General features: G+C 53.8%; 1 protein-coding gene across 1 annotated transcript in view, besides 7 other annotated features; it reads left to right on the forward strand.

The window, feature by feature from the left end:
* The first annotated feature begins 408 nt into the window (after positions 1-408).
* Positions 409-19,967, forward strand: part of CACNG4 (calcium voltage-gated channel auxiliary subunit gamma 4) — a 68,692-nt gene continuing 49,133 nt past the window's right edge. Inside the window, exon 1 of the mRNA NM_014405.4 lies at positions 409-833. Coding sequence (NP_055220.1) covers positions 614-833 — 220 coding nt within the window. The 5' untranslated portion in view covers positions 409-613. The remainder of the gene's footprint in view (positions 834-19,967) is intronic.
* Positions 11,181-12,135: an enhancer, noted in NCBI's record as "H3K4me1 hESC enhancer chr17:64971595-64972549 (GRCh37/hg19 assembly coordinates)". NCBI's record gives its function as "activates a minimal SCP1, AML or CMV promoter by ChIP-STARR-seq in naive H9 embryonic stem cells {active_cell/tissue: H9 hESC(naive)}" and the evidence as "EXISTENCE:reporter gene assay evidence [ECO:0000049][PMID:30033119]".
* Positions 12,136-13,089: an enhancer, noted in NCBI's record as "H3K4me1 hESC enhancer chr17:64972550-64973503 (GRCh37/hg19 assembly coordinates)". NCBI's record gives its function as "activates a minimal SCP1, AML or CMV promoter by ChIP-STARR-seq in primed H9 embryonic stem cells {active_cell/tissue: H9 hESC(primed)}" and the evidence as "EXISTENCE:reporter gene assay evidence [ECO:0000049][PMID:30033119]".
* Positions 13,834-14,411: an enhancer, noted in NCBI's record as "H3K27ac-H3K4me1 hESC enhancer chr17:64974248-64974825 (GRCh37/hg19 assembly coordinates)". NCBI's record gives its function as "activates a minimal SCP1, AML or CMV promoter by ChIP-STARR-seq in naive H9 embryonic stem cells {active_cell/tissue: H9 hESC(naive)}" and the evidence as "EXISTENCE:reporter gene assay evidence [ECO:0000049][PMID:30033119]".
* Positions 13,834-14,988: a biological region, named in NCBI's record as "H3K27ac-H3K4me1 hESC enhancers GRCh37_chr17:64974248-64974825 and GRCh37_chr17:64974826-64975402".
* Positions 14,195-14,489: an enhancer, noted in NCBI's record as "tiled region #13644; HepG2 Activating non-DNase unmatched - State 20:ReprD, and K562 Activating DNase matched - State 20:ReprD". NCBI's record gives its function as "activates a minimal TATA promoter and a strong SV40 promoter by Sharpr-MPRA in HepG2 and K562 cells {active_cell/tissue: HepG2 | K562}" and the evidence as "EXISTENCE:reporter gene assay evidence [ECO:0000049][PMID:27701403]".
* Positions 14,412-14,988: an enhancer, noted in NCBI's record as "H3K27ac-H3K4me1 hESC enhancer chr17:64974826-64975402 (GRCh37/hg19 assembly coordinates)". NCBI's record gives its function as "activates a minimal SCP1, AML or CMV promoter by ChIP-STARR-seq in naive H9 embryonic stem cells {active_cell/tissue: H9 hESC(naive)}" and the evidence as "EXISTENCE:reporter gene assay evidence [ECO:0000049][PMID:30033119]".
* Positions 18,669-19,170: an enhancer, noted in NCBI's record as "H3K4me1 hESC enhancer chr17:64979083-64979584 (GRCh37/hg19 assembly coordinates)". NCBI's record gives its function as "activates a minimal SCP1, AML or CMV promoter by ChIP-STARR-seq in primed H9 embryonic stem cells {active_cell/tissue: H9 hESC(primed)}" and the evidence as "EXISTENCE:reporter gene assay evidence [ECO:0000049][PMID:30033119]".

Consider the following 19,967-nt stretch of genomic DNA (forward strand, 5'->3'; position numbering starts at 1 on the left):
GGGTAAGAGAGGTGGCTGGAGACGCGCTTTCCCTTCGGTCCTCCTGGGGAACACTTCCCTCGGCTTCCTTCACTCCAATAATGTGAATGAACTCTGGGAGAGAGAGAGAGCGCGCGCGGGCGCGGGGAGGGGAGGGGAAGGGAGGGGAGGGGAGGCGAGGGGAAGGGAGGCGAGGGGGAGAAAATCCTGGCTGGGGAGAGAGGGGAGCTCAGAGGAGCGCACAGCCGGGCGGGGGCCGAGGCTCGAGGGGCGGCGCCGAGAGAAACGGGGCGCGGACCCGGAGCGCGGCGGCGGCGGGGGAGGCGCGGAGGGCGCAGGGCGGAGGCGCGGGCCGAGGGGGGAGGGCGAGCGGAGAGGGAGGAGCCCCCGGCCGCCGCCGCCAGCCCGCCCGGCGGCCGCGCAGCCCGCACTCGTCGCCGCGCCTCGGAGTTTGAGCCCCAGCGCTGCCGGAGCGCAGGCACGCCCGGGGCGCGGGGTCGGAGCGCGCAGCGCGGCGCCGCCCCCCGGCCCTCGGCCCCCCAACCCCGGCGCCCCCGGAGCGGCGCGCGGAGGGAGGAGGGCGGGCGGGCGCGGCGGGCCGGGCCGGCGGGCGGCGGACTATGAGGCGCCCACCATGGTGCGATGCGACCGCGGGCTGCAGATGCTGCTGACCACGGCCGGAGCCTTCGCCGCCTTCTCGCTCATGGCCATCGCCATCGGCACCGACTACTGGCTGTACTCCAGCGCGCACATCTGCAACGGCACCAACCTGACCATGGACGACGGGCCCCCGCCCCGCCGCGCCCGCGGCGACCTCACCCACTCTGGTCTGTGGCGGGTGTGCTGCATCGAAGGTACGGCCAGCCCCGACCCCTCGCCGCCCCACACACACACACACACACACACACATATACACACGCGCGCGCGCGCGCGCGCACACACACACACGCGCACACACTGCCCGGCGCGCGGGCCGGGGAGAGGGTGGGCGCGGCGCTGGCTCCGCGCGAGACACAAAGGAGCCGGAGCTGGCGGGCGGGTCCCTTCGCGGCCAGCTGTACATCAGCTCTGGTCCCTCTCGGCTGGGGACCTCCCCAGCACACCGATCCCACAAACTCTCCACGCGCACACCCCCTCGCCCACAGACACAATGAAACACACCGAAACTCAAGCACGCGCGCGTAGCCCGGGACCCGAGCGATCCCCAGGGGCCGCGCCGGCACCCCCGGGGGAGGTGGAGGCTGGCGAGGGGGCGGGAGGAGGCTGGGGTTGGGGGGAGCGGACGGGAGGGGGGGAGGGGTTGCTTGGCAACCGGTGTCTGTGCTATTGCTATGGGAACTGGCCATCCTGGGGCGGGGCCGGCCGGGGGCGGGGCGCGTCGGTGCCGCTGGGCGCTTTCTACAGGCTCGGGCTGAGGGGTGGGGGCAGAAGTAGGGGCAGAAGTAGGGGCGGGGGCGCGGTCGGAGCCGGGGTAGGGGCTGAGTTCCTAGCGGATCTAGGGTAGCTGGGTAGGCCCAGCCCGACGCCCGCCTCGTCTCCCACGGAGTCACCGGCCCGCTCCTCGCTGTGCGGTGGGGTGGTAAGGGGAGCGACACCGAGTCTCCCCCAACGGAGACAGCGACCTCGGTCGCGGCCCCTCAGCAGGGAGGCTGCGGAGACCTCAGTAGGAAACTAGGGTGTGCAGGACCGATCTGCGGACCGGGAACAGACTGGGAGGGGCGTGGTCATCTCGTCGGAGCTGGGCGCTGCGACCCCCAAATGCGACTGGAGGCTGAGTAGTAGGTGTCATGAGGCTGGAATGCTAGGGGACCAGGATTTCAGCCCCGGGACCGTGGGGACAGCTCCCTACTGGGGAGGGGCCTGGATGCCTCCAACGCCAAAATGCGCTCGGCTTCGGCGCCTTCCGGGCGCCCTTCTGCCCGGCTGCGGAACTTGAACTAACAGGTGGCTGGGGAGGGGCCACCTGGTCCCAGCAAGGTTGGGCACAGGTTTGCTGCTTAAGCGTGGCGCTCAGATCGGGGACCGGGTGGAGGGAGTTGGTGGGGGCTTTCCTTTGATTTTTCAAAAACCCTTGGACAGAATTCCTTCTTTTTCGGTAACCTTTCCCCGCGTGTTAACTCCGCCCCTCGGTTGTTCGGGAAGTTCTCCCACACACCTAGCCTTCCTTACTGCAGTTCCAACCCCTGCACAGAGTTCAGCCGCGGTTGTTTCTTGGTGGAGGTTGGCAAGGAGCTCTTAAAACCATAGCCCTTTTCTGGCCGCATTTGAAGTCATCTGAAAAGAGGCTTTGTGAAGCTGGATCTGCTTAGTGAAGTCAACTTGGCCCCCTTTTCCCCTCCAGACCATGCTTGTTCTCATCTCATCGGGGATCCTGCCCACCTCTGTCTCCCACCCCCACTCCCAAAAGAGGCTGCTTTGCCCTTTGCAATTTGGAGCCTAATGGCAGGGCTGAGTGGAGTCTGCAGGTAACAGAAATGTGCAATCAGTAGTTCGAGAAACACAGCCACACAAAAGAGCCAGTGGGCTCATGATCACACCCTCCTCTTTTCTTTTGAAAAACATCATTTTTAGTGTGCAATTGCTCAGATCACGAACACCTACTCCTCTCCTCTGGAGAATGTACCCACGTCACTACCTGCCACAGCACCTGAGCTGGATACAGAGCAGGGGCTGCAATGCCCCATATTCCACCTCACAAGCAAGTTCCATCAGGTGCCAACTGCCTGGCACAGTAAGTCATAAGTCATGCTACTGGCACGACCCGAAGGCATGTGTGGACCCAGGGCCTTCCAGTTTCCCAGTGGAAATTCTGAAACTAACTCCTCCCCGCCAGCAAACCTGGCTTCCTTTATTAATTCCTCATGCTAATTAGGATTAATGCTGCACTTAGCATCTTGCCAGCTGCCTCGAGCCATTTGCACTTCGGTGTTCATCAAGAGAGCCCCAAGCTGATCTGGGCAGCTGGCTCCACTAGCAGAGGGAGCCATCTGGGGGACCTCACCGAAAGAACTGGGCTGCCTGTGTTATTCCCCAATGCTCAGTGGTTCTGAGGGCCAGAACATCCTTGTGGGACCCAGGGCTGGGAGAGTGGGTTCAAGATTCCTTGGCTAGAATCATTGTGACAGTCCCTCAACCTGGGTGGGAACTGACAGCTTTTCTCATAAAAAGCACATCCCTAGACCAACAGCTCTCAACCACCTGACACCTCACCTCCTACGATGCCTCCACCTGCCAGCAAGTAGCCAGAGCTGAGGCCTGGACAGCACCTTAACCCTAGGCCACTTTCTGGGGACACGGAGGGAGGGTTACCTCCGTGTTGGCTTTCATGTATAAGATGCATTGTTTCCACCTGTTCTCTAGAAAAGTATTCCAAAGCATTACCTCCAAAGCAAAATGAACAGAAGAAAATGAAAAAATCAAACCTCTGGGCTGAAACTAAAGAAACACTGCAGCAGGCAGCTAATAAGACTCCGAGGATAAAGGCAGAACTCTGAAGGGTTTGCTGGCAACTGGCAAACAACAGATTCAGTTGCATGTTCGTGTCTTATAAATGATGTTGCCGGGCCAGGAAGCCCAGCCCTCTGTGTGCTTAAGGTATCCATGCATTCTGGCAGGGCTACGTGCAAAAGACTGTTGCTCCCAGCTTCACAGGGCTGACCTTGTCTTAGCCTCTTTCTACCCCTCAAATCAAAGTCTCTCCCTTCTGCCTGCCCCTCTGCTGGAAAGTGTCCAAAATACTCAAGTGTGCAGAGCCTTGTGCACATTACCGCGTGGCCTGCCCATGACAGCCCTGGGAGGACGCTGTCTTCACCCCCATCTGCAGATGAGCCAGGGAGGTGCAGAGAGGTTCAGGGACTTGCCCAGAGGCGCCCAGGTAGGAGGCAGCCGGGCCAGATTGGAGCCTTTGTCTCACTACAAAGCTCTTCTCACCAGATCATCCTGCCTTTTCCCAAACAGCTTCTGGGTTGCCATTAAAAATAGACCAAGTACTTGACTACCCAGTGGAGCCCAGCTCTGAGGTTGGGCTGGCGGCAGCATGAAGGCATTAGAAGTGAGGATGCACAACGGATACATAAATTGCGTAACACACCTTTTCCCTTCTTTTCTCTTCCCTTCCCTTCTTTTCCCTTCTCCCTTTTTCTCCTCCTCTCCTCTCTTCTCCCCTCCTCCCCTCTCTTCTTCTTTCCCTCCCCTTCCCTCACCTTCCCTCCCCTCCTCCTCTCCCTCCTCTCCCCTACCCTCCTCCTCTGCCTCCTCTCCCCTCCCCTCCTCCTCTCCCTCCTCTCCCCTTCCCTCCTCCTCTCCCTCCTCTCCCCTCCCCTCCTCCTCTCCCTCCTCTCCCCTCCCCTCCTCCTCTCCCTCCTCTCCCCTCCCCTCCTCCTCTCCCTCCTCTCCCCTCCCCTCCTCCTCTCCCTCCTCTCCTCCCCTCACCTTCCCTCCTTCTCTCCTTCCTCTCCTCCCCTCCCCTTCCCTCCTCCTCCCTTCCCTTCCTCTCTTCTCCATTCCTCTCTTCTCTCCTTTTCTTTCCTCCCTTTTCCTCTTTCTCTTTCAGTCTTTGTCTATGTCTCTCTCCCAATCTGTTTCTCAGTCTCTCTGTGTCACTATCTCTATCTCTTTCTCTTTTTTCTCTCCTTCCACTGTGTGCTAGACTGGTCACCACAGTCAGTCATCTCCCTGCCTTCTGAGACACTCACCTCATTCTTTGTATCTTTGGTGACACCCAGCCAAGCCTGAGGACATAGGAAAGGGGTAGTAAACCTTTCTTCAAGGTTTATCAAAGGCATCACCAACCAACATTTGTTCAATCTCATGCATTCTGGAATTCAGTGGGTACAGAATGTAAGCAAACATCACGGAACATGTACTCTTGCCAGGGACAGAAGAGCCCGTGTAGACGTGGAAGGGAAGAGGAGACTCTGGGCCCAGAGGGCAGCAGCTTGTGCCACATGCCAAAGCCCTGCCACCCACACCAACTCTAGAGAACTCACTAGAGCCACCCAGTCCCCGTGCTGCCATCAGGAAAGCTCTCCACCCAAAGAGAAGGGTCCTGGCGCCTCAGCCGTGCCCCTCCCCCAACCTGATGGAGAAAGCTGCCTCCAGCATGCCCACAGCTCTGCCAGGGCCTTAATATAGCAGACTTGATGCCAGGGGTGGCCCCCGCACCTGTTTTGTGCCAGCTCTGTGCTGGGTACTAGTGGGGGAAGTTATGGAGAAGGTTCTGGAACCTGAGAGTGAAGGAGTTCTTTGCCCCAGTCATGTTCACGTGTCTCACCTGGGCAGCATCTTGCACACCAGTGTACCCAACCTTTCTTCCCACCATGGCACACTGAGGAAGAGGAAGCATTAGCCCTGCACCCTGGGGAGGGGATTGAGAAGACAGCCATGGATGTCTCCCAAGGGGCCCCAGCTGCCCCGAGCCCCGCCCAGGTGCCCACAGGTGGGAGGCTTTTTCCAAAGAGTTTCCTGAAACTCCTTCCTGGTGGGTCAGCTACATGGCTCTGTCTTAAACCACACTCCCTACATAGGACCATTCAGAGAGGTTTCATCAAATAATAGCCTTTCTCCACCCACTCCAGGCCTGGTGCTGGGCTTGAAACTTTTCTTATCTGTGTTTGCTTTCATTTTCTCTTGAAATAACCCAGAGGCAGCCTGTCCAGTCAGGCCCAGGTGAGTGACAGCGTCAGAACAGGCACCCCTTCCCTGACGCGCTAAGTACCACCGGCCAGAATCCTCACCCTGGACCCCCTTCGCCCTTGGGTGCTAATTATCACAGCCATCACTATGGAAGACCTTCATGCAGGACTCACATTCGTGCATGTAATTGCCAGCAACACCTCAAGGTAGATATTAATTATTTGCCTTTTATAGTTGTAGAAAATGAGGCTTAAGACGTGCACAGCTCCTGAGTATTGCATCTCACTCCCCGGATCACGGCCAAGGTGGAACATAGGAGCTCTTCTGTCCACTAGTCAGGGGAAATCCTTTATATTGGAACCATGCAGATTTGGAAGGGGCAGGTAAGGGGGTTGTTGGAGTCAGCTTGGGCTGACGTCATAAAATATGATAGACTGGGTGGTTTAGATCACAGATGTGAACTTCTCATAGTTCTGGAGGCTGGGAAGTCCAAGATTAAGGTGTCGCTGGACTCAGTTCCTGGTGAGGTCCCTCTTCCTGGCTTGCAGATGGCCGGCTTCTTCATGCAAGTTCCACAGGGCATAACTCAGGAGCACCAAGGGTTATGGGTGTAGCATCAGCTGCCCCTCACACCAGGGCAGGGTTTCTCAGCCTTTGCACTGCTGACATTGGGGCCAGATCATTCTATTAAAATGCTCACATGGTGGAGAGAGAGGGCACCAGTTTTTTGGTCCTTTCTTACAAGGGCATTGGTCTGATCATGACCCTCACAACCTCATCTAAACCTAATCACTTCCCAGAGGCCCTGTCTCCAAATAGCATTGTTTACACAGAGGATTATGTCTTCATCATATGTATTTTGGGGGCACACAGACATGTGTCCATCACAGACATGTTCTCGCCCTGTGTCTGCTTCACAGCTGGTGCTTACTCTCCAATCATTCAGGAAGAGGCCCTTCAAAAAGTCTCAGTAGGAAAATCAGCAGATCTTTAAAATAAATCCCCTGTGTCAGTCTCCACCAACAGCCCAGACTCTGAGGATTTCCAGGACATAGTGACAGAAGTGCCGAGTAGGAAGGGGCCTCAGGTCACCAGACCCTGAGTGTCAGAGGCGAGGAAGCCACAGCTAAACTGGAACAGCAATGTGCAGGGGAGGGGGCCTGGTGGGCCTCTGTCTCCTCATCTGAAAATGGGGCCTGACTGTTCTGGAACACTCCTCCCACCTCTCACTCTCTGTCATACAAACCCCGGAAAGCCTCTGCCCATAGCTTCCACGCTGACGGTGGGTCGGTGTGGCCTCATGGAGGGTCCTTGCTGGAGGAGGGGTTTCCAGCCAGAAGAGCCTTGAGGAGGGGTTTCCAGCCAGAAGAGCCTTGAGGAGGGGTTTCCAGCCAGAAGAGCCTTGTGGAGCTTACTTAGTTCAGTGACTTTTGACCCTTTTGCTGCTGAGACACACACACGGGCTACAAGTCACCCGCCTGCTGGGTGTGCTGCTGTTCCCTCATTCATTCTTCCAGCACAGGCTCACTGAACACCTGGTCTGTATTAGACATGCAGGGCTCAGGGTCACAGCTGCAGAAAGGACAGACAGGTCCCTGCTGTCCTGGAATTGATACTCCTATGTATGAGGCAGTTGGCACTTCTAGGTGCAGATTTATGTTACGGTGAAAACAGAGCAGGGGGCGTGTGGGGAGCGGCTGGAGGGGGCCGCTGTTGGCTGGTCAAGGGGACAGGAAATTGTCAGGGAAGGTCATGTTTAAGCCAAAACCTGAACCAGAAAAAGGACCTGGAGGGAAAACCTTCTAGGAGGAGGAAAGGGCGAGCCGAGGCCCCGAGCAGGAGGGAACCTGGTGAGGATGGAGGAGAGGGAGCAAGGAAGAGGTCAGGGGTTGGGCTGGGGAGGCTCTGAGGTCAGGGTCAGAAGCCTGCTTTATTTCACATGAGATCGGTGCTATTGCAGAACTTCGGGCAAGGAAGTACGGTGATCTGGTTTATGTTTTTAGCAGACCTTCTGACTGCATTTGGAGATGGAGATATCAGGAGGCAGGGGAGGCTACCAGGAGACCCATCTGGACATTGTGGCAGACTGGAGACCTGGGGCTACGTGGCAGCAGCAGAGATGGGAGAAGTGGAGGGATGGCCCGGAGAAGGGGATGAGGAATGAAGGGTGACCTCCCAGATTTGGGGCCACAGCAGCCGGCCAGGCGACAGCACCATGGCCAAGTAGGGAAAGACAGAAGAAGGAACAGTTGTGGGAAAGAAAGCTAAAGGTATGCCCATGGGGGTGCCAGATTCTGACACTACTGCCTGACACCCCACAGCCTAAAGTAGTGCTGGACAGTTCCATAGAGCATAACTCAGGAGCACCAGGGGTTATGGGTTCAGCATCGGCTGCCCCTCGGAGCAGGGCAGGGTTTCTCACCTGTAGCACTGCTGACACTGGGGCCGGATCCTCTGTCACAGGAGCTGTCCTCTGTGCTGTAGGTGTTTAGCAGCATACCTGGCCTCCCCGCACTGGAACCAGTAGCGCTCCTCCTTCTCCAGCTGTGACAACCAAAAATGGGCTCAGACTTTGCATATGTCCCTGGAGGACAAAACTGCCCCCATGGAGAACCTCTTGAATCTAGGGGAAGCATCGTTTAGGGTTGCAGGGACAAAGGGCAGAGGGGGAAGGCATGATTCTTTGTAGCTGGAATTCCAGTCACTTCACTTCCCTTCGAGAAAGCACATGGGGCCTGGCGCGGTGACTCACGCCTGTAATCCCAGCACTTTGGGAGGCCAAGGCAGGTGGATCACCTGAGGTCAGGAGTTCAAGACCAGCCTGGCCAACATGGTGAAACCCCGTCTCCGCTAAAAATACAAAAATTAGCCGGGCGTAGTGGTGCATGCTTGTCATTCCAGCTACTCGGGAGGCTGAGGCAGGAGAATTGCTTGAATGTGGGAGGCAGAGGTTGCAGTGAGCTGAGATCCCACCACCGCACTCCAGCCTGGGTGACAGAGTGAGACTCTGTCTCAAAAACAAAAACAAAAACAAACAAACAAAAAAAACAGAGGCCAGGTGCAGTGGCTCGCGCCTATAATCTTAGCACTTTGGGAGGCCAAGGCGGGTGGATCACCTGAGGTCAGGAGTTCGAGACCACCCTGACCAATATGGTGAAACCCCCAACTCTACTAAAAATACAAAAGTTAGCCAGAATGGTGGCAGGCACCTGTAGTCCCAGCTACTCCTGAGACAGGAGAATTGCTTAAACCTGGGAGGCGGAGGTTGCACTGAGCTGAGAGCTCGCCACTACACCCCAGCCTGGGCAATAGAGCAAGACTCCATTAAAAAAAAAAAAAAAGCGAAAGCACATGTAACATAAGTGGGGGAAGCGATCCTATCAATGGGATGACCTGGCATATGCTTTAGGGGCCAGCCCCAGTCCTTTATTAATAGTAATGCTTTCCCTACCCACAATGCCCAGAAGGCGTCCACCATGGAGCTGAGAACCACAATGCTGCCCAGTTCTTATGCTGTGCAAGCCAGGGAAGCTCAAGACAGGTGAGGCAGAGTGACTTACGCAAGGTGGCATGGCTCAGGAGCAGAAAGTGGCTGTGGGGCTGCCTGGCTGGGGCTCTGTCCCAGCATAACCTCCCCTTGGGTGCGTACCTGGGCAAAGGTTGGGCAACACACAGCCACCGTAGCGTGCGGCAGCAATAGGTGCAGAACAGCGATGGAAACTCCCTCCCGTGGTGTCTGTGCCTCGGGCCTCCATCGCGGTTAACCTGCATACAGTCTCAGAGAAGCGGCACTGCCCTCCATGACAGCCTCCCCTCAACAAGGATGCTCTCTCCAGCGGGTGCATGGGCTTGGTCTCCTGGGAAACAGCTTCAAAAAGGGAACAAACTGGTTCTAAGCTCCAGGGAGAGGCCAGGGAGGGCCTGCCTGGATCTGCCCCCAACGTCCCGTCCCCCAATTCTTGTTCTGTATCCCCATGAGACTCCGGGAAGTGCTGCGCGAGACTCTCTTTTCTGAACTGCGAGGCAGGACATGGTACCAGACAAAGGACTTTTTTTCTAGCATTATCAACTTCTTCCAATGAAAAACTTTTCAAAGCTGTGAAAATGACATCCCGTGATTTTACTGTTTGTTTACTTCTTCCCCCTTCAACCATAAAAGGAAGAAAGGGACAAGATAAATAAAGAGATGAGGGACTGGGGCGGATAGAAAAATCAAGTAGGAAAATGAGAGATGATGGCTGCGTCCAGCTAGTGTCCACAGTACCGACTGCAGAAGCCAGCTGGGGGCCGAGGCAGGCCACAGCTTTGTCGCTGAGCTTCCTGGAGGCCAGGACAAAGAAAGGAGTGTGGCCAGAGGTGTGTTCACAGGGGGCATACAATAAAAGGGGAATATTTCATAATAGAAGCCCAGCTCTTCCTGAAACAGAGGCCTAGAAAAAACGATGCCCCTTATTCGAGGGACATTCTGTTAAAATGGACTCTGTTGAAAAGGCAGCATGGGGTAGGGGAAAGAGGCCAGGCTTTGGGGTTGGACCTCTAGAGTTCAAAACCCCAGTTTCCAGGCAGCTGTGTAGCTTTGGGCAGGTTAGGTGACCTCTCTGAGTTCTTGTTGATGTCTGGAAAGTGGGATAATGAGGCAGTGAATGGAAAGGTGCCCAGCACATATCTATGGATGCCCCCCGCGCAGAGTGCTCGTTAGGGTACCTCTGGGTGGAATCAGTGGTCCCTGGTGTCTGCATTCTTCGAGGCTCCTGGGTGTGAGCCTATGAGGTGGAGACAATGACAGACTGAGCTGCCAACCCCGAATGTGCACAGGGGACCCTTCTGGTGAAGCACCACAGCCTTTACAAAGCAGCCACTTCCGCCCCCACAGGCCCCAGGCTCTCTGCAGGCTTTTCCCAGGGTCTATCTGGAGTTGGGCTTGAGTCAAACCCTTTCCTCCCCCATTAGTCCACGTGGAAGCCGCCGCATCAGATGGCTTTGCGGTGCATGGGCTTGCAAGGGCTTTGGACTTTAACTGGAGCTGCTCTTGCACCCCTCCCTCCCTCCCACCCTGACGCCGTGACTTGCCTCTGAGGACTGTAGACCCAGAGCAAGCTCTCCACGTCACCACATCCAACACGGCCTGCCTGCTACCATGGCAAGCCCACAGAGGTGGAGGTGTCGGGAAATGCTGTTTAACTGCCTCTCCTCCTTCCACCGCTATCACCCCATTTCTGAAGGAGAATGTGGAAAGGTAGAGGGCAGTTTCTTGACTCAAGCCCAGCTCCAGACAGAGCCTGGGAAAAACCAAATGAGTAAAAATCATCAGTCTCCCTGGCTCACCTGCCACTAGCATCTGTCACCTCCTGGGCCCAGGGACACAGGAAGGGGCTGGATCTTCATTCCAGCTCCCCCTTTCCTCCCCACCATGAGTCCACATGGAAGCAGCAGCATCAGACGGTCAGCATTGAAGCCACATGGCCCCGGGTTTGAGTCCAGACTCCCACTTGTCAGCTGTGTGTCTTCAGACAAATTGCCTAACCTCTCTGAACTTTGTTGTTCAGAGAGCAATTTTTCCTTCATTGTTAAGTTAGGAGCATCATAGAATCAACCCTGGGGTTGTGAAGTTATATGAGAAAAAACATGGAAAATACCCCTTCTCGTGCCTGGCACCTTATAGATATTCAAAACATATCATCGCTTTCTCTCTATTTCCATGTTTCCTGAACCATGGAATTTTTCCCAGAAGACATAAGTTGCCCAAATTTTGTAAGCTGCCCCAGGTCAGCTCACCAGCCTGCAGGGTCCAGGAATGGAAGAAGCTGAGCACCCCCCAGTGGAGGCCACGGTGTTATTTCCTCACCTCTCAGAGGCAGGGCGTTCTGAATGGCTCCTGTGAACTGCAAAATCAGAGACTGAGGCTCTCAGCTGGGAGCTGAAAGAGGGCCTAGCACCCAGGCTGTGGCTGGGCTGGGGATGGCAGCCACCCAGGTGTGTGTTCCCAACATCACATTTTCTGGCACAGTGACTTTGCCAAGTGCCCTAGCCTGGCCCCAAGGAGGCAGAGAGGAACTGGGGAACTTCCAGTAGCCTCAGGGGTGGGAACTGAGTGCCCAGATTGATACTCAGGAACAGAGACAGCGCTCGTGGGGGTTGTGACTGACCCTCGCATCTCCCTGTCACTTACCGACACCTGCCGAGAGCCCTGCCGCGTCAGGTGACCTCCCAGTGTCTCAGGGCCAGGGCCAGGGTAGAGGAGGACAAGGCACCGGAGTGAAAACCATCAGGATTGGAGTCAGGGGACCTGTGGCCTGGTCCTGACTCCGCCACTCACCATCTGGACAGTCTTTGGCTTGTCACTCAACCTCCTAGAGCCTCGGTTTGCTCGGCTGTCAAATTGGCAAATAAAACCTGTCCTCCCCTCCCTCCTCCCTCTGTCTTTCCTCTTTCCTCCTGTCGTCCTCCCCTCCCTTCTCCCTCCATCCTCCCCTCCCTCCAACTTCTTTCCATCCCTCCATCCTTCCCACCTCCATCCCTCTCTCTAACTTCCACCCTCCTCCCTCCAACTTCCCTCCCTCCTTCCAGCTTTCCTCTATCCTCTCCATCCTCCCTCTTTCCCTCCCTCCATCCTCCCTCCCTCCTTCCTCTCTTTATTCTTTCTTCCTGGTCCCTCCCTCCCTGCATCTTCCATTCCTCCTTTCTCCTCCCCATCGTCCCTCCTCCCTGCCTTCATCTTCTTTCTATCCCTGAGTCCTCCCTGCCCCGCCCCACCCCCAGGGTTCTGTGAACATCCAAGCCAAGGATGTTTGTGAAAGTGCTGTGAGAAGCACAGCGGCCGTGCTCCCACAGAGGCACCACACAGGACACAGTGACTTCAGGCTCCTTTTCTTGGAAACACTGTTGGCTGTGGCCTCTTTTCCCTCTGACACCTTGGCAAGGAGGAGCCTGCTGGTGGTAACCTCACACGTCGGCTGTGCTTCCCGCCAGTGTGGTCTCGCTTGGACAGCACCGCCCCCTCCGTCTCCAGCCCACTCAGTCACCAGTTCATCCATCCAGCAAATGCTGCCAAGAGCCTGCTCTGTGCCTAGCAGAGACAGAAGTCCCTCTCCTGCAGTATCCCTCGGGGTTCCTTTCACCCTCCCCAGGCCTATGGGCTCCACCTCCGACACACGCCCACTGCCTTCCTTCCCTCCACCTCTCTCCATCTCAGAGCACTCCCAGCTCTGTCATCTCTCGCCTGGATGCCCGCTGTAGAGTCCTGACTGGTCACTCTCCCTGCTCTCCACACACAGCCAGAAAGAGCTTGTAAAAATATCAACCAGATCACATCATTCCCCAGCTCAGTACCTTCTGGTGAGAACACATCCCTCTGTGATAAAGTCAGGCTCATTCCCTGATACCTGAAGCCCCATGGATCCAGCCCGCCCCACGGATCCAGCCCGCCCCACTTTCTGACTCTCCAGGAGCTTCGTGCGCAGAAGGGAGTCGAAGATGACATCTGAACTAAGTCTGTGTGATGGTCAATAGGACGGGGGTTGTGGGTGGGGGATCGATGAGACCTGCATTTGAATCCTGCTCTGCCCTGTGTTAGCTCTGTGACCTTGGACAGACTCCTTAGCTTCTCTGGGCCTCAGTTATTTTCTCATCTGTAAAATGGGGATATAATGATAGACCCTCCCCTCCCCCATCTCATCAGATGATCAGAACGATTAAATGAGATTGGACATGGGAAGCCCTGAGGGTGGCCCAGGCACCACGGGGCAGGGAGCAGAGCTGGGTGCAGAACCAGACCTCACCTCTCTCTTGTTTTTTTCTGAGAGCTACCACACGCACCTGCAGGGCCAGGGGCTGCCTTGGAGAGCAGAATTACTTAAAACTGTGTCGTCCTTAGGTGTTTGTGGGGCACCTGCTGAGTGCCTGGCTTCAGGCCGGGCATTGTGGGCACAGAAAGCCCCCAGGGTATTTACTCTCTGGTTCTGGAGACCCTGGGGCACCAGCAGTAGGACAGACACCATACAGGGCACGATGTGGAGAGGGCAACAGAACACGTCCTAGACGTTAGGGGCTCCTCCCGGACGCCCTAAGGAGGCCTATCCCATAGGGTTGTCAGGAGAATCAGATGGGAAATACGCACAGGGCTCCCCGCACATCTGTCTCACCATAGACCTGAAATAAACAGCAACTCTTTTGCTTGGCATCTTGGAGAGGAGGTAGGATATGGTGATAAAGGGCCCAGATCCCAGAGTGAGTCAGGGTTTGAATCCAGGATCTGCCTCCTACTAGCTGTGGGGCCTTAAGCCAGTCATTGCACCTCCTTTGAACCTCAGTTGCTTTCTCTGCAATATGGGGTTGTTAGCGATACCTGCTATGCAAGTTTGCTGGCAGGAGTCGCGATAAAGTATCTAAGTGCTTGCTTTGGAGCTGGCATAACATGTGTTCAATGCATGTAGTTATTCTCATCTGCTAACCCAAAAAATACGTGGTACATGGGGACAGGGGAGGGGACCCAGAGTGAAGATGGGTCTCAGAGGAAGGGGGGCTTCGGTTCTTAATTCCCAGGGTTCCTCCTGCCCACTTCACCCCTCCCCCACACACCAAAGCACAGGCAAGAAAAGGACACAGATCCCCAAAGACTCCCTGAGGACATTTCAGGACACCCAGGCTCCCTTCCAGGGGCCGGACAGTCCGGCCAAGGCCATGTCACCAGCTCATCATTAACATGCGATGGGGGAGGGATGCCCCGTACTCGCTTCCGGCCCTCAGCTCTGAAAAGCCTGATAACAAGTGCACATTGACGGCCCAGGTTCCCCAGGGCGAGCACGCTGTCCCTGCCTCGCATCTGAGCCTTCGCCCGAGACATTTTCTCGCTTCAGCAGTTTGGCATGTCATACAAAGGGGCTCTGATTTTTCCTGATATCCAACTCCTCTTGCATGAAAAATGGCTTTGGTTGTCTTTCTGCCTGCGGATTCCTGAGCGTGAGTGGAGGCCAGATGCCTGGTGGGCAGAGTGTCCTCACTTGCTCAACCGTTTGGAGGATCTCCCGTCTTCTACCTTGTGGCCTGCGGCCTTGAGGTTCAGTCTCTGGGGGAGTTCCCTGCTGGCTGCAGGCCTGCCCCGCACCCTCCTTCCAGCCAACCCCCTTCCCTCACCCTGGTGGTTTCTGATGTGTCTCCAGTCTTCTTTGTGCTGCTGCCATTCGCACAGTCCCAGTCACCACACCCACACGGCCAACCTGAGGTTCCTTTTTGTGTGAGCATCCTCTGCAACCCAAACCCATTTTCCCCATTCCCCAGTGCCGCCTTCTCTTCCTCTCGTCCCTCTTTCTCTCCTTTCTTTCTTCCTTGTATTTCTAATTAATTCTTCCCCTTTTCCCTTTGAGTCTGCCATCTTTGTAAACCACGCAAGCCCTCTCCTGCTTCCTGTTCAAGTCAGTCTTTTGAGAGTTCTTGAAGCATTTCCTAGATAAAAATGTATTATTTTAACTCTGTGATTATTAGGAGGGTTATTAAACATGAAGAGAATTCTATTAAATGGCAAATTGAGTGAGCCAAAAACCCACAGATGTGGAACCTTTGAAGATCATCTGGTACGAAACAGATGTGACTGTACCAGTGGCTGCTTTATCAAGCTGGGAACAAATATTGGAAGGAAATTCACCAAAATGTTAAACTGATGGTCATGGGAATGAGGAGTGACTTATCTGATCTCCTTCTTCTTTCGAACTTCTGTGATGCAGAGAGGAAAAAATATAAACCCGATATTTAGATGAAAAGCATCCCAAGCCCAGTCTCCAGACAGATGAATGGGTGTGTATGCCGATTTGACACGGCCGGTGTTTGTTCTTTTCATGCTTTTTTTTTTTTTTTTTTTTTTGAGATGGAGTCTCACTCTGTAGCCCAGGCTGGAGTGCAGTGGCGCAATCTCTGCTCACTGCAACCTCTACCTCCTGGGTCCTGGTTCAAGTAATTCTCCTGCCTCAGCCTCCCAAGTAGCTGGGATTACAGGCATGTGCCACCATGCCCAGCTAATTTTTGTATTTTTAGTAGAGATGGGGTTTCACCATGTTAGCCAGGCTGGTCTTGAACTCCTGACCTCGTGATCTGCCCACCTCGGCCTCCCAAAGTGCTGGGATTACAGGCATGAGCCACTGCACCCAGCCTGTTCTTTTTATTCTTAAATGCATCCAGGAACACGCTCCCAGGCACTATGCCCAGCGACTTCTTGCCAGCATTTTATTACAGGCCACTTCTGACTTATAACCAAATTGATTCCTGGATCAAAGCCTTTGCAAGCCAACCACAGTTGAATCTTTATTTCCTGTCAGCACAATTTCCACATTGGGCTTCCATCCCTAGAAATCCATCTCCTACAATAAAAGTGCTAAAACTGACCATGAAAGTAAGTGAGAAGGAAATAAAACCCAGATCTATGCTTTTACAAACCTTTATCACATGTGTAAACCTAAGTACTTAATCGGAAAGCTGTGTCGTGAGAGGCCCCTCAGGGAGAATTTTTCTGCCTGAGTCAGATGGCTCAAGATTTCTTAATATGTGACTCCGATGAGGTTTGAGCAGAAGACGCTTGCTTTTTTAAATTATTTCCCTAGGAAACTGTCCTGTGGCAAGCTTAAGCAGGCTTCATTGCACCAAAAATCTTCAAACTCTTTAAAATAAAAGATTCTTTTACCTCAAAAATTTTCCATTGACAATTCCCTTTGTGTAAATTCTTTTTTTTTTTTTTTTTTTTGAGACTGAGTTTCACTCTATTGCCCAGGTTGGAGTGCAGTGGCACAATCTCATCTCCCTGCAACCTTCACTGGGTTCAAGCAATTCTCCTGCCTCAGCCTCCTGAGTAGCTGGAATTACAGGCGTGCACCACCACACCTGGCTAATGTTTGTATTTTCAGTAGAGACAGGGTTTCACCATGTTGGCCAGGCTGGTCTCAAACTCCTGACCTCAGGCAATCCGCCTGCCTCAGCCTCCCAAAGTCCTGGGATTACAGGCGTGAGCCACCGCACCCGGCCTTGTTAGAAACATCTTTGCATTTCTTCCAGAGGTTCCTCTAAAAGAACAAAAAAAAGAAAAAGTAAATAAAAAGAAAAAAATCTTTGCATGGTGAATACTGGAGGAAAGGCAGTTTCCAATGTGACTCGTGCGACCCTGAAACAATCCCTCACTCTTTGTGGCAGTGAGTCAGTTGACCCTTCAAATGTCCATCAATGCAGAGACACAAGCTTCCCCTTGTGTCTTTGTTGCCAGGTGCTCAGAATGTTACCTTCTGTTCTTAGCAAGAGTTTCAGTTAAGGCAGAAGCGCGAGGGAATATGGAAGGAGATGCTGATCAAGTCCAGCATCCTCCAGCTGAGATTCCCAGTACTAGGACTACAAAATTATCCCTCAGTTCTAATCAAATTTGCTACCTTCAGTAGTAATGTCTGTTCCTTTCTTCTTGCTCAGTCTTTCCTATAGCTGAAAACAAAGCAATCATCTTCGACCCTTAATAGCCCTTCATATTCTTGCAAGCAGTTTTTTTGGGTTCTTCTTTGGTCTACCCATCTCTGGAGGAAAGGGAAGGAAATTTACCTGGTTTTTTGTTTTGAAACCTAGTTGCTTTCTCTAGACTGTGGCTTGAAACATACAAGCCTTTGTGCAAAGCACTGGGTCAGGGTTGGGGGTGCTGGGGCCGAGAGAACCACAGGAGACCCACTCTGTTTGTCACCAGTGGCCTCTTGAGCCGCCCGTGAGTAGGACGGTGCTCAGGCGAGCCCGGCAAGGTCCCCTCCGCCCTAGCTGCTTATCCATTCAACACCCTCCTGCTGGCTCCTCTGTTTAGAGTCCAGAATTATGAATAGTTTAAAAAATAAGAGCAAATGCCTGCTGAGCCCTTGCTATGCACCAAGCACATTAGGTATTATCTCAAGAACTTTCCATATGTTATCTCAACTTATCTTTGTAACAGCTATAATTTCACACTAGTTAATTACTTAACTATGATTTAATCAGATTTCAGGTATATTATTGCAGAAAGAGAGCTAACTCTTATAAAAAAAAATTTTTAGAGATACGGTCTCACTCTGTCACACAGGCTAGAGTGCAGTGGTGGGATCATAGTGTGTCCAGAGTTGATTCATTCTGATAGGTTTATGGGCTCGCTGACCTCAAGAATGAAGCCATGGACGTTTGCGGTGAGTGTTACAGCTCTTAAAGGTGGCACGGACCCAAAGAGTGAGCAGCAGCTAGATTTACTGTGAAGAGTGAAAGAACAAGCTTCCACGAGTGGGAGGAGACCCAAGCGGATTGCCGCTGCTGGCTAGGGTGGCCAGCTTTTATTCCTTTATTTGTCCCCGCCCATGTCCTGCTGATTGGTCCGTTTTACAGCATGCTGATTGGTCCATTTTACAGTGTTGATTGGTTCGTTTTACAGAGTGCTGATTGATCTATTTTACAGAGTGCTGACTGGTCCATTTTACAAACCTCTAGCTAGCCACAGAGTGCTGATTGGTGTGTTTTTACAGAGTACCAATTGGCGCATTTTACAAACCTGTAGCTAGCCACAGAGCGCTGATTGGTGCATTTTACAAACCTCTAGCTAGCTACAGGGCGTTGATTGGCGTGTTTTACAATCGTAGCTACAGAGTGCTGATTGGTGCATTTTACAATCCTCTTGTAAGACAGAAAAGTTCTCCAAGTCCCCACTCAACCCAGGAAGTCCAGCTGGCTTCACCTCTCAATAGCTCACTGTGGCTTTGAATTCCAGGGCTCAAGCAATCCTCCCACCTCAGCCTCTTGAGTATCTGGGACTGCAGACGTGCACCACCATGCCCATCTAATTTTAATTTGTTTATAGAGATGAGGTCTTGCTCTGTTGCCCAGGCTGGCTTCAAACTCCTGGGCTCAAGCGATCCTCCTGCTTCAGCCTCCCAAGTAGCTGGATTTACAGGCACAAGCCACCATGCTTGGCTATGAGAGCAAACTCTACTGTGGTTCCTATTAGGTGCCAGGGATTGCCCTGTGCACTTTATATAGATTAACTTGCTTAATCCTCCGCCAGCCTGTGAGGCAGGTGCTAGCACTACTTCCATGGTGTAGATGCAGAAACTGAGGCACGGGGAAGTTAAGCAGCTTGCCCAAGGCCCCGGAGCCAACAAGTGGTGAAGTCAGAATTGAAACCCAGGCTGTCTGGCTTCAGATTCCATTCTCTTCATTCGGCTATACCTCTTCCCAGTTGATAACAGTGGTAGCTATGACATGAAAATCTCTGCAGGCACTTTGCAGAGTTCACTTCCTCCTCACAATGCAGCATGGATGGCACTCCCCTTGTGGGAGACTCACCAGCCTGTGACACCCCCCAGCACCTGCACCCAGGTCTCCAGCCCCAAAGCCCCTGGCAAGATCTTTCTCAGCCCCATGCTAAAAACAGTCACATGCCTGCTGCACGCTGGGGAAAAGGCGAGGTTGTGGGGTGGCTCAGTGTGCTGCGAATATCCAAAATAACCCATGGTGACCCCAGGAATCTGGGGCCACAGTGAAGGCTACCCAGGCTGGAGGAGGAGTTTAGATGGGAAGAGAGCAGGACCCGCCCCTCAGGTGTGTCCCCGTGGTTGCCAGATGCTGGCTGTGGGCTGGGCTGGCACAGCAGGCTTCTTGGAGGAGGTGGGCACAGCGTCGTGACCAGAACAACGCACGATGCCAGGCCCCAGGTCTGACTCATGCAGTCTAAAGAGAAAGGATTCTGCTGTCAGACTGAGGGCGGCTCTTCAGATGGGGCACTCTCCGCAAAGAAGGTGAAAATCATTCTGCTCGAGACAGATCCTTTAAGAAGACATTAACCATGCACTTCAAAGCCCTGGAACCCATGTTTTGCAGGGGCTGCCACCCACTGGCACACTTTCACACCCAGGTTCTGGTTGTTGGCATTCACGTGGTGACTCCCAGCTCGCACAAAGCAGATAGAAAAACAGGCTGATCATACTGTGTGTTTCCATTCATACCCTGTTCAAAAGCAGGCAAAACGAATGCAAGGCAGCGGAGCTCAGCACAGTGGCTCCCTTTGTGGGCTGTTGTCTGGGAGGGTGCAAGGTGTGTGAACAATGTTCTATATTTTGATCAGGGTGCTGGTTATACGGGTGTAGACACATGTTCATCTAACTGCACCCTTAGGATTACTCTCTGTAGATTATCTTCAGTAAAAATTAAAAATAGTAGCCAGCTGCAATGGCTTGAACCTGTAATCCTAGCACTTTGGGAAGCCAAGGCAGGAGGATCACTAGAGGCCAGGAGTTCAAGACCAGTTTGGCAACATAATGAGACCCCGTTTCTAACAACAACAAAAAATTAATTAGCTGGACATGGTGGTGCACACCTTTAGCCCT

Source organism: Homo sapiens, chromosome 17 (genome assembly GCF_000001405.40).
Source record: "Homo sapiens chromosome 17, GRCh38.p14 Primary Assembly".
Classification (NCBI taxonomy): Eukaryota; Metazoa; Chordata; class Mammalia; order Primates; family Hominidae; genus Homo; species Homo sapiens.